General features: G+C 37.9%; 1 protein-coding gene across 4 annotated transcripts in view, besides 1 other annotated feature; it reads right to left on the bottom strand.

Moving 5' to 3' along the window:
• KCTD16 (potassium channel tetramerization domain containing 16) overlaps positions 1 to 15707 on the bottom strand; it is a 314814-nt gene that overhangs the window by 181718 nt on the left and 117389 nt on the right. The gene's annotated exons all lie outside the window — the stretch shown is intronic.
• Positions 5609 to 6343: an enhancer, noted in NCBI's record as "H3K27ac-H3K4me1 hESC enhancer chr5:143677189-143677923 (GRCh37/hg19 assembly coordinates)". NCBI's record gives its function as "activates a minimal SCP1, AML or CMV promoter by ChIP-STARR-seq in naive H9 embryonic stem cells {active_cell/tissue: H9 hESC(naive)}" and the evidence as "EXISTENCE:reporter gene assay evidence [ECO:0000049][PMID:30033119]".

Genomic DNA, 15707 nt, shown 5'->3' with positions numbered 1-15707 from the left:
CTGTGCCAGGATATCTTTAAGTGTGTTTAAGGCTGTGACATCTATAGGCCAGGTTGATATGCACTCTCCAATGACCACAGAACTAATTCCTGTCTTTTGTCTTAAACTCTTTTCCAGGCCTCTAATGGCATTTAAGTTTGAACTCCCAAATCCAACCAACTTATGAAACAGAAGGTGAAGGCAGGAGAGGAGAAATGACCTCCCCAGCCTCACAGAGCCACTTACTGGAGAGCCTGAGCCCCAACCTGGATCTCCTCATTTCCCACCCCCACCTAGTCCTTGCATTATCATATTTGTTGTTTCCTTATAGTGGCCTGAAAAATAAAGAGTTGATAATGAAGAGTTTTAGATGTTTTAAATGATATTTCTGATAACAACTAAACAGGTGCAGGTCACTCTGAGATAATGAGCACAAAAAGCTTAATCATGTTTGAAACTTTTGACAAGAGACTGAACCTTTGGTCATTTCCATTGCTCTTGCCACACAAAAGCCAAGGGTTCTATTTCCATCTCTGAACAACCCAGCCCAACCTCAAGGTCCTAAAGAATCTTAAAAGTGCTGTACTTGATCTTTAACAAATCATAAAAGATTTTACAGAGATCTCACAAGCCTATAAAGCTATTCATCTTTGTTCCTAAGTCTAGAAAAAGAATCACTTCCCCAGCTTAGGTAATTAAGAGTCAGCTGAAACATAGAGGGCTTGCATATGAAGTGATATAATTCTAATAACACTTGCAGAAAACATGAGTTAACTAGAGACAGCCAGCCACCCTACTGTGTAAAGAAAATTTGACTGCATTTGGAGGTCTTCTGTCCTTGACACGTCTATCAAGATTGCTAATGGCCAGCAAACCACAGGCCTTTTGAAAGGAGGCACTAACGCTCTAATAATGTCAATTATACAACCAAACACTCAACAAAACAGAAGAGAGGAAAGACTGGATGAATGATCGATAGAGGTAATTAGATTTCCCTGTACAATATAGAAATGATTTCCATATTCCACAATATCCTGCTGCTCATTCTATAGGCTGCATTTCTTTTCCACTGCTTACAGCCAACCCAAAGGGATCCAAGTTTAAAGAGACAGAACAATGAGGAAAGAAGAGGCCAAGTGGGCTTTTTAATCATTCTGTCCATATCAAATTATTAAAAACTGTTTTCATCACATACAACTGTGGCATAATCTCTCATGCAATTTGAAAACATTCTATACACTAGAGCAACTGATTTTTCCAAGGATGTTGAATGTCAGAGCTAGAATCAGAAAAACAGGGTGTTTTACAGTTAAGTTATTCTTTCTTTGATACTGTATTTGACGTACGATAATAAGTATTCAGGAAGCTAAAAGTCATTTGGGCTGATTCTAACCAGAAAGAAAAATCAGTGGGTGAAGATTTATAAATTTGTTAACAAGTCTAGATATAGCCAGGGATGAGTGAAGCTGCAACCTAGAAAAGCAATCATACTTGAAGTCTGTAGTTCTTCTGTACCAAAGATAGAACCCAAAGTCATGGTTGAACACCATCTTCTACCACCTGCCATAAAATCCTCCTTTGTTTTTGTCTTTCATATTTCACTTCATTCAAAAATATTTATTACACACTTACTGTGACAACATATATTCTTGTTTTAAACTTATTTCTCTTTCTCCTTTTGTTTCTTTTCATTTTTTTCTTCTCCCTGACACCTGCCCAGAGTACTTTGAAATTCATAAAGTGATACTATTAAGCTTGAAGACACTTGACCACTGTGCAGTGCTAAACCTGCCTGTCTCTTCACTTTTTATAATGATCACCTATGAATGTGCTCTGGGGTCAGAAAAGCTGGGTTTGAAGCTCTACTGCCTCTAGCTATTTGCTCTTGGGCAAGTCACTTAAACTATCTTCACCACAATCTTCTCATTTTTAAAAGGGGATAGTAATAAAACCTAATTTTTACATAAAACTTACTTAATTTTGCGTAAAATTTAAAAAAGAAAATATCCCAAAACTATTTAGAAGAGTGACTGCCACAGAATAAGTATTCAATAACTGAAATCTGTCATTATCATTAGAAACAATAAAATAAAATAAACATGAAATAAAATTCTTCTTCTGAATTTTCTTGTTTCCACTTTCATGAATCCTAAAAGTATCTAAAACATCAAAAGCTACTATGTTGAAGAACCAAAAATACAAGATTTTGGATGGGCAAACTGCTGAGCACTTGGTTGCTAAGGGAAGCATCAAGACACTTTTTTGTTCATGGGTTGATTAGCAAAGTGGTAATTTCCATGTTGTTAAAAATGACAGAGCGTTACCAAAGATATCCTGTTCACTATGTCGAGACGGCATTGTGCAAGTGAATTTTTAAAGTAGAGATGGATTCTTAATCCATTCTTAAGGCAAGAATTTTCCAAGCACCTACTATATACATAGAATTTCGCTAGAAACAAAGAAAGATATAAGCACAACAAAAATTATGTTTAACACAAGGAGCTTAGAGTTTTGCTGAGGAGTCAGGGCATACACACTTGTCTTATTTAAGAATTCACCATCTCTCTTCTTACCTACTTATATAGCCTACAGTTTTTCTTCTTACCTCTGGTCTTACTCAATTCAATCTCTATGCAGCTTCTAATCCATTTCTCTGCCTAAAATCCTTCCCACTGCCTTCCAAAACATTCCATTTCCTATAGCATTGCATTCAATGTCCTTCACGATCTTTTTTTTTTTTTTTTTTTTTGAGATGGAATCTCGCTCTGTCACCCAGGTTTGAGTGCAATGGTGCGATCTCAGCTCACTGCAACCTCCACCTCCCAGGTTCAAGGGATTCTCCTGCCTCAGCTTCCCGAGTAGCTGGGACTACAGGCACTCACCACCACACCCAGCTAATTTTTGTATTTTTAGTAGAGACGGGGTTTCACCGTGTTGGCCTGGATGGTCTCGATCTCTTGATCTTATGATCCTCCTGTCTCAGGCTCCCAAAGTGCTGGGATTACAGGAGTAAGCCACTGTGCCGTGCCCGTAATAATCTTTATGACTCTACCTTACTTGCTTGTCTTCTCCCATCCTTTTCATCCTGTAGTCCAATCAAACTCCCTGCCATTTCTTGAGCATGGTTTGTCCTTACTCTGTACCTGTGAGGTACATCACTTGAGTATGTCTTTCTCCTCTTATCCTAGCAAACTCTCATTTAGTGCTTAAGACAAAGTATTTAATAATGTGAAATCCTTTGGGTGGACTCTCCTGTTTTGCCCAACCACATTGTATATCAATTATGAGTTTATATGGCCGTACTCTTCAATAGAGTGTTATGTCTTCACTAGTGGGGCATATTTTCTTTATCTCATGTCCACTATAATTACCATGATCTCTGTGATGAGTTGGATAATCAACAAGTATTCATTGCATGATTGGTGTATAAGGTCAGTTATAACTTGTGTATTGCATATATGTAATAAATTCTATTGCAAAATACCCTGTGAGCTACAAGATACTTTCTACTACACTGTCTCAGTGAAATAGCATGAGACAATTTGCACCCTATTAAATGGTACAGCTGGTAAGTTCTGAAAAGTGGGTTTTCAAAATTAGCAGCAGCATTCAGGACAGATTGCAAGAATTCGGGAGAAGAGATATAGAGTGAGAACTTGAAGGGTGACAGTGAAGCAAAAATGCTTTGTGATGCCAGATACAAAATATCTTGATCTATTTTTGCAAAAGAGTAACTGGCTAGATCAGGGACTCAGGAGATTTACTTCCCACACTTCACTGAATACGTCTATATCTCTTTTGATTCAATGCTCTTCCACCCGAGAAGTGAAAAACTATTCTGGTAATATTAATAATACAAACATGTGCTAAGATCATATCTGAATGAGGCAGAATAATTCCCTTAGAGTCAACCACAGCTACTAGGCTCAACTGGTTTAGAAGCAATGCAGTTATACTGATCATAGGATAATCTGTATCGATTTCTAAGATAGACAGCTATAAATGATTACTGACAAGTTTTTCTGGGTTGTAATCCAGAAGAAGAAAATGGGTCTTTTTGTTTTTTGTTTTTTGTTTTTTTTTTTTTTTTTAAATGATTCTGGTGAATCAGATAATCTAATGATATGTGAATGCTTTGGTCCTGGACAATGAGTTTGTTAAAAGTAAGGTTATTCATACTTAATTACAGGTTTTCCAATTTTACCCTCCATAAAGATGTTAAAAATCCTAAAACATATTAAGGAGGCCAAATAATGTAGTAGTTAGTACCAACTGTGTTGCTTTCATTAAGTTACATAATGCCCTACCTTACCAAAACAATAAAATGAAAGTAATAATAAGGCCACTGTCCAAGGCTTTCAATAAGGTTACATGATATAATTTATGTGAAATGCTTAGCACACCAAATTTTTGTGTATTGTATCACCTTTGCCTATACTCAAAACAAAACAAAACCTATTTTTTTCATTCCAATATTGGAGGGAACTTCCCAATTACTCCCATGGAAAAATACTTTCAAGCAGACAGTATTAGATGAATGAAAGATAGAAAATAGAGAGTATGTTTAAGATCAGGGGACCTCTTCCTTCCCTGCAGTTTTGTCAAACTATTTTTGTCTATGTCGTAAGTTGTTATTCTGATAGAGAAATGCTTTCAGCAAAGCAGGATGGATCATTATTATGTACAGCCAAGTGGACTTGTTTCCCTTCTTGGTTCTTTTTGAGGAAAAGGTTGAAAATGAAAGAGGTTGAAGATTTTTGTCAAAGTGTTAGTGGTATATTGCACAGGAACTCCGGGCAACATTAAACAGCTCAGTGACAGGTTAAAAAAAAAAAAAAAAATATATATATATATATATATATATATATATATATATATATATATATATATATACATAGTGATATATATATACAAAAATATATATATATATATATATATATATATAGTGATCTGTTTTACTTATTCATAGCATTTTTTTTATTCCTGGCCTCTTTAGAGAATTCTTTCTTAGCCTGCCCCATTCCCGAGACTTTATTGTGCTGATCAGGATACTGGGTGAAAGAAGCCTGGAGAGGCTAAATTCATCTACATAATAATAAAGCGCTGCATCTGAAAGGAGGAAAAGAGAAAGGACTTAGAATAAGCTGGAGTTGGGGAGAGACCAAAGTGGAATGGAAAGAAGTTGTGATGATGAGAGGACTTCAGAGAGATGAAGGTAAATCAGTAAAGAAGTTTCAGATATTTCTCAGTCGCATCTGAAAACAATTACCTTGTGTCACTTTTGAGAGACTTGTTAAATGTTCTCATGTTTGTCTAGATGTTAGACTGGCTTTACTGTGGGGCCTTAAACATGCTAACACAGTAGAAAACCACCTCCCAAGGAATTATGTCTCTGAAGGCATCTTGAGACCAGTTACCTTACAGGCACAGTACTAAGCGCTTCACTTACCAATGTTATTTCATTTCACTGTCACAATTGAGTACCTACACCTAGGCCTGTGTGTCCAATAGCCACCAGCATCCCTTAACCTTCCATCTGGCTGGCAGAACCAGCTTCTCTCTGTAAAGGCTGAAAATAGCTGCTATGAACAATTCTCAAGCTTGCCTTACTTCTTGAGCATGGCAGGTGATGTAATCCTGGCCAATGTGATCCAAAAAGAAGTATGCTGGTGTTACCGAGGGGTCCTTGCTCCCAGAGCTCCCAAGATGGTGGCAGGCCACTTCCAAGATGGTCGCAAGCCTCGTGTTCTCTGACCTGGGACTCTTGGCCTCACGGATTTCAAGGAATGGAATCTTGGGCCGTGTGGTGAATGTTATGGCTCTATTAGAAGCCATGGGTCACGGAAGAGAACCGTGGAACCCAGTGACTAGTGTTCAGCTCGATTAGGATGAACCCGGGCACTTAGCCATGCAGGAACAATGGCAAGCCTTTAGCCCAATCGGGAGCGGCAATGGGCGCCTTGCTGGATCAGGAGCACAGCGGACACCCTGCCGAATCCAGAGGGATGAAAGTCAAGGGGGGTCTGTGACGGCAGCAAAGAGCAGTGAGCAAAAGCTCAGCTCTAGCCGAGTTGGACCAGAAGAGTGCAATTTCAAGATTTAATAGAGTGAAAACAGAGCTCCCATACAAAGGGAGGGGACCAAAAGAGGGTAGCCGTTGCCGGCTCGAATGCCTGCCTTTATATCCTGATCTTTGTCCCTCCCGCTGTGCTCTCAGGCGATAGATAATTGGCTATTTCTTTACCTCCTGTTTTTGCCTAATTAGCATTTTAATGAGCTCTCTTTACTACCTGATTGGTCGGATGTGAGCTAAGTTGCAAGCCCCATGTTGAAAGGTGGATGCGATCACCTTCCCAGCTAGGCTTAGGGATTCTTAGCCTAGGAAATCTAGTTAGTCCTATCTCTCGCTGGGATATGGTAGGAATATCTTGAAAGTGTTTTACTCCATATTAAAAGGAGACCTACTGAAGTACAATTCTTCTGCAACATATGTAGTATATATCTGATGAAATGTCTGAACCTCTGTAGCCAACTTGGGACTATAAGGAGAGATATCCGGCCTTGTAGAGTTGTCCTTGATTGCATTGCTTAACCAACCCTGAACCCATCCTGACTTCAGACCTTCTTCTTAGAGTCAATAAATCTTTCATTGCTTAAAGCTGTTTTGGCTGTATTTTTTCTTACTTGCAGCCAAACACATTCTTGCTGATGTAGCATTTAAATCAAAGAGGGGCACACCCATGGTAGTATAGTTTTACTTTTCCTACAGCAAGAAAAGTATTACTAAACATTTTATGAAGGAAAAATGAAGAAGAAACTCAAACGTGTAAAAGAAGCGGAGCTAGAATCAAAGGAAATATTGATCTGATACATCTAATAGCATCTTCCAGATTGGCTCTTATAATCTCATTTCCATTCCTATTACGTTTAAAGCACATCTTGCGTTTAGGTGATCTGAAACCATATAAGTTACAGAAATCAGGTTTCAAAGTTCAGGACATGAGCAAATTCAATTCAATTATTTTTATATTCTAATCAGCTGTTTTTCCTTGGGTATTAAATAGACAGATGTGAAATCCATTATTCACATATGTAGATTTTCTTCTAAGTTATCCACAAGAAGAACAATTCATCTAGAATTCTTGCCCAGGTACAAAAGGTGGGGAAGAGAAAGTGAGAAGGAAAGTTAGTAATTGAAAAATGAGAACTACTTTTTAGCCTATTTTTTTTTAACCTTGACTTCTCAAAACATTTGCTTCTAAAGGCTGCTCTTTTTCCATATCTAGTAGTTTTCTTTTGTTTTTCTGCTAAGCACCCAAATGCTCCAGAGGATGACGAATTCTCTAGCTAGTTACAGTAGTTTACAACTCAGGCACTTAGAATACAGTGAAGTTCTCCAAATAATTGTTGAATTTTTTAAAAGGATCCCTATAGCATAGACACAGTTTTAAGATTTGATTATTTTATTATATCTATAGAACATTCTTACTTTTCTAATCCACTGGCCCCCAGAGAACTGGAAAATAAGAAAGAGGCAATTGAACATGGGAGAAAGTCTTGATTGCCAAATGCTCTGTTTGAATGAGAGTTGCCAACATGCCTACCTCTAATTAGAAGCCATTTCTTACATAATCTTTCAATTCCAGTAGTTTACATAAATGTATTTATTCATTCATTCATAAATGCATTCATTCAGTTAATAAATTCTTACTGAGCACTGCAGCAGATGCTATTGCTGGCTCCCCAGACCTCCTGGGGTCCTTTTATTTTTTTTACCATTTCTGGGCTCTTTCTACTTGAGTGCACTTTTGCCTCCAACTCCTGTACCTGTAACTGTTCTGTAGAGAAGTTTCCATGAGCTACTGAAGTTGCTTTGCATGCAATAGCAGAAAGCAGAGACTCTGAAGTACCAGGAGTTTGTCCCTATGTTAGTTTTCTATTGCTACATTGACAAATTATCACAAACTTAGTGGCTTAAAACAATGAAAATTTATTACCTTACAGGTCTCTATAGGTCAGAAGTCAGACATGGTTCTCACTGGATATTGCCAGATTATGTTCCTTTCTGGAGGTTATAGGGGAGAGAGTTCATTTCCTTGCCTTTTCCAGCTTCTAAAGACTTCCCACATTTCTTGATTTATGGCTCTCATCCTCCAGTTTCAAAGTCAGCAGTGTCACTTATATCTATCTGATGCCAGCTAGGAAAGATTCTCCACTTTTGAGAACTCATGTAACTAGATTGAGCCCATTTGGATAATCTGGAATAATTTCCCTATCTAGAAGTCTGTACCCTTAATTACATCTGCAAAGTTTCCTTTGCCATGTAAGGTAATATATTCACAGATTCCAGGGATAATGGCATGGATAACTTTGGGGGCCACTATTCTGCCCACCACAGTCCCCAATGGTGGCCCATAGTCAATGACTGACAGGTACAGAGGTGTGAAAACTACCTCTCCTGTCAGACTGCTCTGAGAGGTAATTTACCCTCCAGAAACCCCTGAAGGGTCACACTGCCTCCCCTGGAGTTTGTCTGAATCTCACCCTTGCTTGATTTCTTCTGCTTTCTCATTCTGCTTTCCCTGATTATTTACAAGTTTCTCCTGGGAAAACTCTTAATTCATTATTTGCACACACATTCTTTTCTCAGAATTTGTTTCTAGAGAACCCTACCTAAGACAAGAGCTTTACATATGCCAGGCAGTATGCTAGGCACTGGAGCAAACAAATGGTGGCTCCAAGACTCTTATGTACCATTAAACAGGACACTTACGTGTACTACTACTGCTAAAATGCTTACCACTTACTGAGCTCTTTCTATGCATCTGACACTTTGCTTGGCACTTTATTTGATTAAAAGCAGTTAACTTGCATAAATTTATGTGACAAATACTGTTATTATCCCCCTTTATATGTTAGCGCCATCAAGTCAAAGACCATGCCTATCCCCAGCAGTTTACATACTGCTTTTTGTATAGAAAATGCTCAACAATTGGTGGATGAATGAGGGGATGAACAGTACGGATAAAGGTCTAGATAAGCTAAGTTGGCAGATGCACATTATAAATATTGAAGCAGTGACAGGAACTCAGTTCTGTCCACTCAAATGCTCATGCTCTAACTGAGCTACTTTGTCACCTAAATTCACTTCCATACAGTAAATGCTCAACAACTGGTAGTTTAATGAAGGGACAACCGTTACTGATAAAGGTCTGGAGGGGTTAAGATGGCATATGCACATTGTAAATATTGAAACAATGATTAGAACCCAGTTCTGCCCACTCAATTCTGTCCCATGCTCTAACTGAGCTATTTTGCCACCCAAATTCACTTTCAATCCAAAAAGAACATTGTGATGAAGACACTACATGGAAGGAATGAGGAACAAGCATATTTAACACAATTCTATAAATTGCTGATGGATACACAAACTATGAGTCAAATAACATGCTAATATAACAAGTACAGAAAAAATCTCTCCCACAAGGAAAAAAAAAATAAGTTTATATACAAAATGCTTACATACACCCAGAGAGTATCTGGGAACATGAGCACCATTAAACATCTCTATGCATCTTACAAAAGATACACCTTAGACATCTAGTTAAAAAGCAAACTGTACTGAATTATAGAGTTACCACCATATCTTTGATTAGTATCAACTGAAAGTAAGTCAATAGCTGTTTAAAAATTCATTAAAATGTGTTTTGAATTATTCTACCATTATTTTCATTTTAGTGTCAGCAAAAGCAAAATAAGATATGATTTATTGGCATTTATTCAAAAAACGCTGTGGTTTTTTGTTGCTGTGTTTTTTGTTTGTTTGTTTGTTTGACAGAGTCTCACTCTGTCATTCAGGCTGGAGTGTAGTGGGGCAACCTCGGCTCACTGCAACCTCTGCCTCCCAGATTCAAGTGATTCTCCTGCCTCAGCCTCCTGAGTAGCTGGGATTACAGGTGTGTGCCACCACACCTGGCTAGTTTTTGTATTTTTAGTAGACATGGGGTTTCACCATGCTGTCCCGGAATGGTCTCTATCTCCTGACCTTGTGATCCACCTGCCTTGGCCTCCCAAAGTGCTGGGATTACAGGCGTGAGCCACCGCACCCAGCCCCTGCGGTTTTAATTTAAGGGGATGCATGGTTTATATTCTAGTTAAAATACTAGATAATTTTCTAAAAAGCATTCAACATTATATGCAAAATGTAACTGGCTTCTCATTTAATTACATCAAAAACTGACTAATAAAATGAAATGGATATTTTGTCTTATTAAACTATGCTTTTGTGGTTAGTTCATCATTGAAATTGTCATGGACCTAGGGGAATTGGAATTCCAGATGCAGTCTACTAAGTAGGTTACCATCTTCCCTGCTTAATATGAATGCTTTTGAAGGTCTCTATAGATGGATTAAGTTTCAGTGAAAATTATAAGATATTTTAAAATAGAATTTCAGCAATGGATATGGTCAGAGAGAGTAATGCCATAAGAATAAAAAGTGCATTTTTATAAGAACAAACCCTTTATAAACAATAATTTAAATTTCTAGAAAAGCCATAATTTTAAAAAAGAACTATAGAGACAATGAACATGGACCATTAAATGATTGGGGAAGTGTTAAATAGTAGACATCTGGAAGGTTCCTTAAACATTCACAACAGGAACAAATTAGGGAAGCAGCTAATTTCAGAGGTTTGAGGATTTCCATATCATAACACAAGTTTTTAAAAATTTCAAAGAATTAGGATAGACTGTAAAAGTAGACAAGCTGGAAAGAGCCACAAACCATCAAATAGAGAAAGGAAAACTTCCGAGAGGAGAGTGCAAGGGAAGAGAAAAAGCTATCAGTCAGAGAGTAGCCTTAGAGGAAAGAAGAGTAGAATTTGGATGCTGTGAGAACTGAGGGAAGCAAAGTTCAGTAAAGATAAATTACCAAGTTTCTCATGAATTAAGTAACAATTTGCACCAGACTTGTCCTTCAGTGTCACCAAGTCTCTGTACAAAAAGGCAAAGAAATTTACGCCTTGTGCTTCACAGCTTGAGGTCAACATGCGTCCTTGGTCACTGCTGAACTTTGGCCCTTCCTGGGCAGCCCAACTCTCTTCTAAAACATGTGCAACCCGGAATCCTAGCGCTCTCTCTGTGGATTCTGGCTTCTCAGAGGGTAAATACCAGGCAAAGATCACTGGTTGCTCTTGAGGGGTGGGAAGTTGAGAATTCTCTATTGATCCTGAGTTTTTTCTCCCTAACTCTCAGCTTCTTCTCCCATTCAGCTCTTTCCATTGATAAACCACTTTGTTCTTTTGATTTTTGCCTCATCTCTCTGTAGTGATGGCTTTCAAATTCCTAGCTTCATGCTGAATCTCCAAATATGCACCTAAAGTTACAGAATTTTGATGTTAGTTCAAACGTGGTGTAATCCATATTGAACAGTTTCTCTTTCCCACACAAAGCAGCACGTCTAGGGCTCACCTCTAACAATTTCTTTCATTTCACCTATGTGCACTGAAAAAAAAATTTCATCTTAAATCCTAATGGCCACCACCTTTGACCTGGCCTCCTCATCTCTTACATGGGCTACAATAAATTCCTACATTGCTCTACCTTCACCCCACCCTATACAGAACAGCCAGACCTGTTTCACTACAAAAATGACTTCACCAAACCATGCTCTGCTCAATAGTATCCTGGGTTACTCAGTCCTCCATTCATTTTCACAGCAAGGACATTCTCACCATGTCCCAAAATACCACTCCCCTGAACTGGGTTTGCAGGAACACTGCCAATGCTCTCACAGGCCCTGCCCCTCCTGGGCTTAAAACAAAAGTGCTCTTAAGTATTTTTGTGCCAAATATCCCTTCAGCAATCTGGTGAAGAGCCCTCCAACTTTTTCTCATAATAAGATTTTTAAATGCATAAAATAAAATACAAAAGAAACCAATTATATTGAAAAATAGTTAAAATAGTTTAAAAATCTGTATAGAAATATGAGTTCCTTCATTAATGCAGTCTAATTAAGATTTAGCAACAGTCTAATGATTACCCTAATTTTGAAAAGGTAATTTTAAACAATATTTTGAGAATCTGAAATAACTGACATGATGCGCAAATATTTGTCATTTATGTTGATGCCAAAAACAAAGATACTGCTAATATTACACGGTATGTGGTAGCTGTCATTCATAATTAAAATAAATGTGTAATTTAAGATAGTAGTTAATAACAAGAAAGATGCAATTTTTTCTCATTCAAGTTCCCAGATGCGCTGAATTTTATCTCATGTTACTAGTCCCTGGTTTAATGATTTTTAGGCGTACCTCATTGGAAGCCATTCAAGTAGACAAAACTTTCCTCCTTAAAATAGTTTCCTTTATTTTCAAACAGGTCCTCAATGCAACTCAATAAAAATGTTCAGTGAACAACTACTTACCATATATAAAGGACAATATTAAAGATATACAGCCTGTCTTTAAAGGGTGCATAGCCTAATGAGGGTACAAGATCTTTCAATAAGTCATAAAACAATATGAATAATATGTTGTGTGCCATATTAGTAGTATATGCTGAGTTCTAAAGAGAAACAGAGAACAGAACTATAAAATTGATCTGAGAGAGTTGAGGAAGAAATCACAGGGAACAAATAAGCTGAACAAAAAGTCAAAGTGTATACCAGTATGGAGGTAACTGATAATGGCATGGTAAGAATTTAGAGTGCTTTAAGAAAGCAGCAGGAGGTGAATGTGATGTCTTGGTGTCAACCAGATACTGTGGACATAAGAATGCTAACCCATGAGGCAGGGTTTTAGGCAGGGCATGCTTGAACCCATGTCTTTGCTCTTTCTGCTCCATCAGCTCAGGGCACCATTCCCCTTCCCGTGTGTTAACTCATATATTGATGCTTTTTGGCTTTAGACCCAACACTTTTATACAAAGTCTTCGTTCACCACCCAAATTCATATGGTCACCATTCTCTTTCTCTTTTTCTGGATTATTTTAACGTCTTGCACTGTTACATCTTTGTAATCCATATTAAAATACTTTTGAACCAAGAAGGTTATAAATAAGTTAATAAATTATCTTTAAAATCCTTATAATTCTGTATAACTACATTTGTAGCTCTGTATAACTACATATAGAAAGATAATTGCTTCTCATGAAGTCAGAGTTCAAGGGATGCTGCATGGAATGATCCAAATGTGATTTCCAGGAACATCAGCTGAAATTATGAAAGGTAAAAACTACCCTTCTTGACAGGCATTAAGAGAAAATAAAAATGGGACCTTTGGGGAAGCAAATGTCTTGGCTATGTTACATTGCCAAAAGAGAAATTTTGATATCTGTCAATAAGGGACATCATTGATGGATGCTCCGAAGGAAAGATCTTATTGATATAGAAGAGCAAGGGATCTTTAAAAATTAAGTCATTATGGAAACTGCCTTTCCAGGGACTTTTACTTTTCTTGTAATTGGGAAGAATTAAAGCACAACAACTCAATCATAAACATGCTTAAGATTAATAAATTGAAGAATACCTATCATTGCAAAGGAAGATTCCAATACAAAAAGAATAATTTTAATGAATATATCTTAGTATATCTCAGCCACTTCAGTCCATTCGGAGAATTTTCCCCAAAGAAATACGATAGAGTTTTTTATTGACTGTTTTTTTGTTGTTTGTTTTTGTTTTGTTTTTGAGATAGGGTCTTGCTCTCTTGCCCAGGCTAGAGTGAAATGGTGGTGCCATCTCAGCTCACTGCAATCTCTGCCTCAGGGACTCAAGCAATTCTCCCACTTCAGCCTCTCAAGTAGCTGAGACTACAGACATGCGCCTCCTTGCCTGGATAATTTTTGTATTTGTGTATATATATATTTTTTAGAGACAAGGTTTCACCATGTTGCCCAGGCTGGTCTCGAACTCCTGAACTCAAATGATTCACTCGCCTTGGCCTCCCAAAGTGCTATGATTACAGGCATGAGTCACCACACCTGGCCTATTGTTTGGTCTTATGCACTTAATAAATGTTTATTTAAAATGTTTATTAATAAATGTTTATTAACAAATCCACTTAGATTTGTTTAAATTGTATTTCTTTTTGATAGCTCTCTTAATTTTATGGTATAAGATGCATTTCCAGAAATAAGAGTTTAATTTATAATATTTTGCTTATTGGAAACTGAGATTAGTATTAAAGATACCTTAATGTGTAATCATAATCTAGTAGCCAATTGGGTTCTTAAGGAAGGAGTTGCCTCTATCTTATCTGATTTTCATTGAAATAGATAGGTTATTCAGCTTTCGTTTGGTTGTGTAAAAGAAAAAGGAAAGAAATAGAGCATGTGTTATTACCTTCAAATTACAGATAAAAAGACAGAAGCTCAGGAAGGCTAGGTGGCTTTATACTTTGCTAAGATTCTTGGCTCAAGAACATAAGGTGGCGGAGGAAAGTACGAGCATGGAATCAGTAGAAGGAATGTGTGTGGCAGTGCCCTCTCAACAGGCAGCCCTCTCCTACCAGATGGTGTTTCCCAGGCAGACAAAAGAAAGGTAATGCAAGATGAGTGATAAGCAATCTTTACAGACAGGTAAAACTTATTAATGACAGACACATCACTGTTTTAAACCTCAGTCCTCTTAAATCATTAGAAGGCAGGTATTTGAGCTGATCCCTGCAATTTGCTCTCATGGGGTGTCAGAACATTAAATATCCCAGGGTGAAATGCAGTAGGCTTCAGATTCTGGGCACATTCTGGTTCCCATAGGAAGCTTGAGAAAGAAACAAATCATAAATGATAATTTTTCTTCATCTTCCAACACATTCTAATTTACTATCATCCTTAATTTTTTAAAGGTACAAGTAGTTATGCCATGAAGAAAACACCAATGAAATGCCTTTTTAAGGATCCCATTCCTGAGCTTTCCACATAACCAGGATGCTTGCTTGCTTGTTTTTTTGTTTGTTTGTTTGTTTTTGTTTTGAGACAGAGTTTCACTATTGTTGCCCAGGCTAGAATGCAATGGCGCGACTGGCTCACTGCAACCTCCGCCTCCCGGGTTCAAGTGATTCTTCTGCCTCAGCCTCCCAAGTGTCTGGGATTACAGGCATGTGCCATGATGGGATTACAGGCAGCCTCCGGAGTAGCTGGGATTACAGGCATGCACCACAGCTAACTTTCTGTATTTTTAGTAAAGACGGGGTTTAACCATCTTGGCCAGGCCAGTCTCGAACTCCTGACCTCAAGTGATCCGCTTGCCTCAGCCTTCCTAAGTGCTAGGATTACAGGCATGAGCCACCATGCCCAGCCAACCAGGATGCTTTCTAGAGACCTAATGTAACTTACTGCAGAAATAAAAGAGGAATGTATCCTCTGATTTATTGGCTACCTAAATGTCATTCCTCTTTTTTCTCACCTAGATTCAAGGACAAGTACTAAACATGCCTAAATCTGAAGTATGTGATATACCCACAAATAGCCAGGGTCCACCAACCATCTGTTGGAGCAATCTGGTGATGCCATTGGTGATAGCACTCCTGCAAGCAGGAGCCATCCTAACCTACATTTGTCCAATGCTCCCCAGGGTGCCAAGCAATGCTCCCACATCTCATCTAACAGGGAGAACCCACAACACGTTGATGAGCCCTGTGGAGTTAATTATTGCTGTTAGCATCATCCCTATTCACAGTTTTGCAAATTTGAGTTTCACAAATTTAAGCAATTTGTTCAAGGTCT

The sequence above is a fragment of the Homo sapiens genome, chromosome 5 (genome assembly GCF_000001405.40).
Source record: "Homo sapiens chromosome 5, GRCh38.p14 Primary Assembly".
In the NCBI taxonomy this organism is placed as follows: domain Eukaryota; kingdom Metazoa; phylum Chordata; class Mammalia; order Primates; family Hominidae; genus Homo; species Homo sapiens.
Note: the sequence above shows the minus strand (reverse complement) of the source record. Positions and strands in the feature narration are given on the sequence as shown.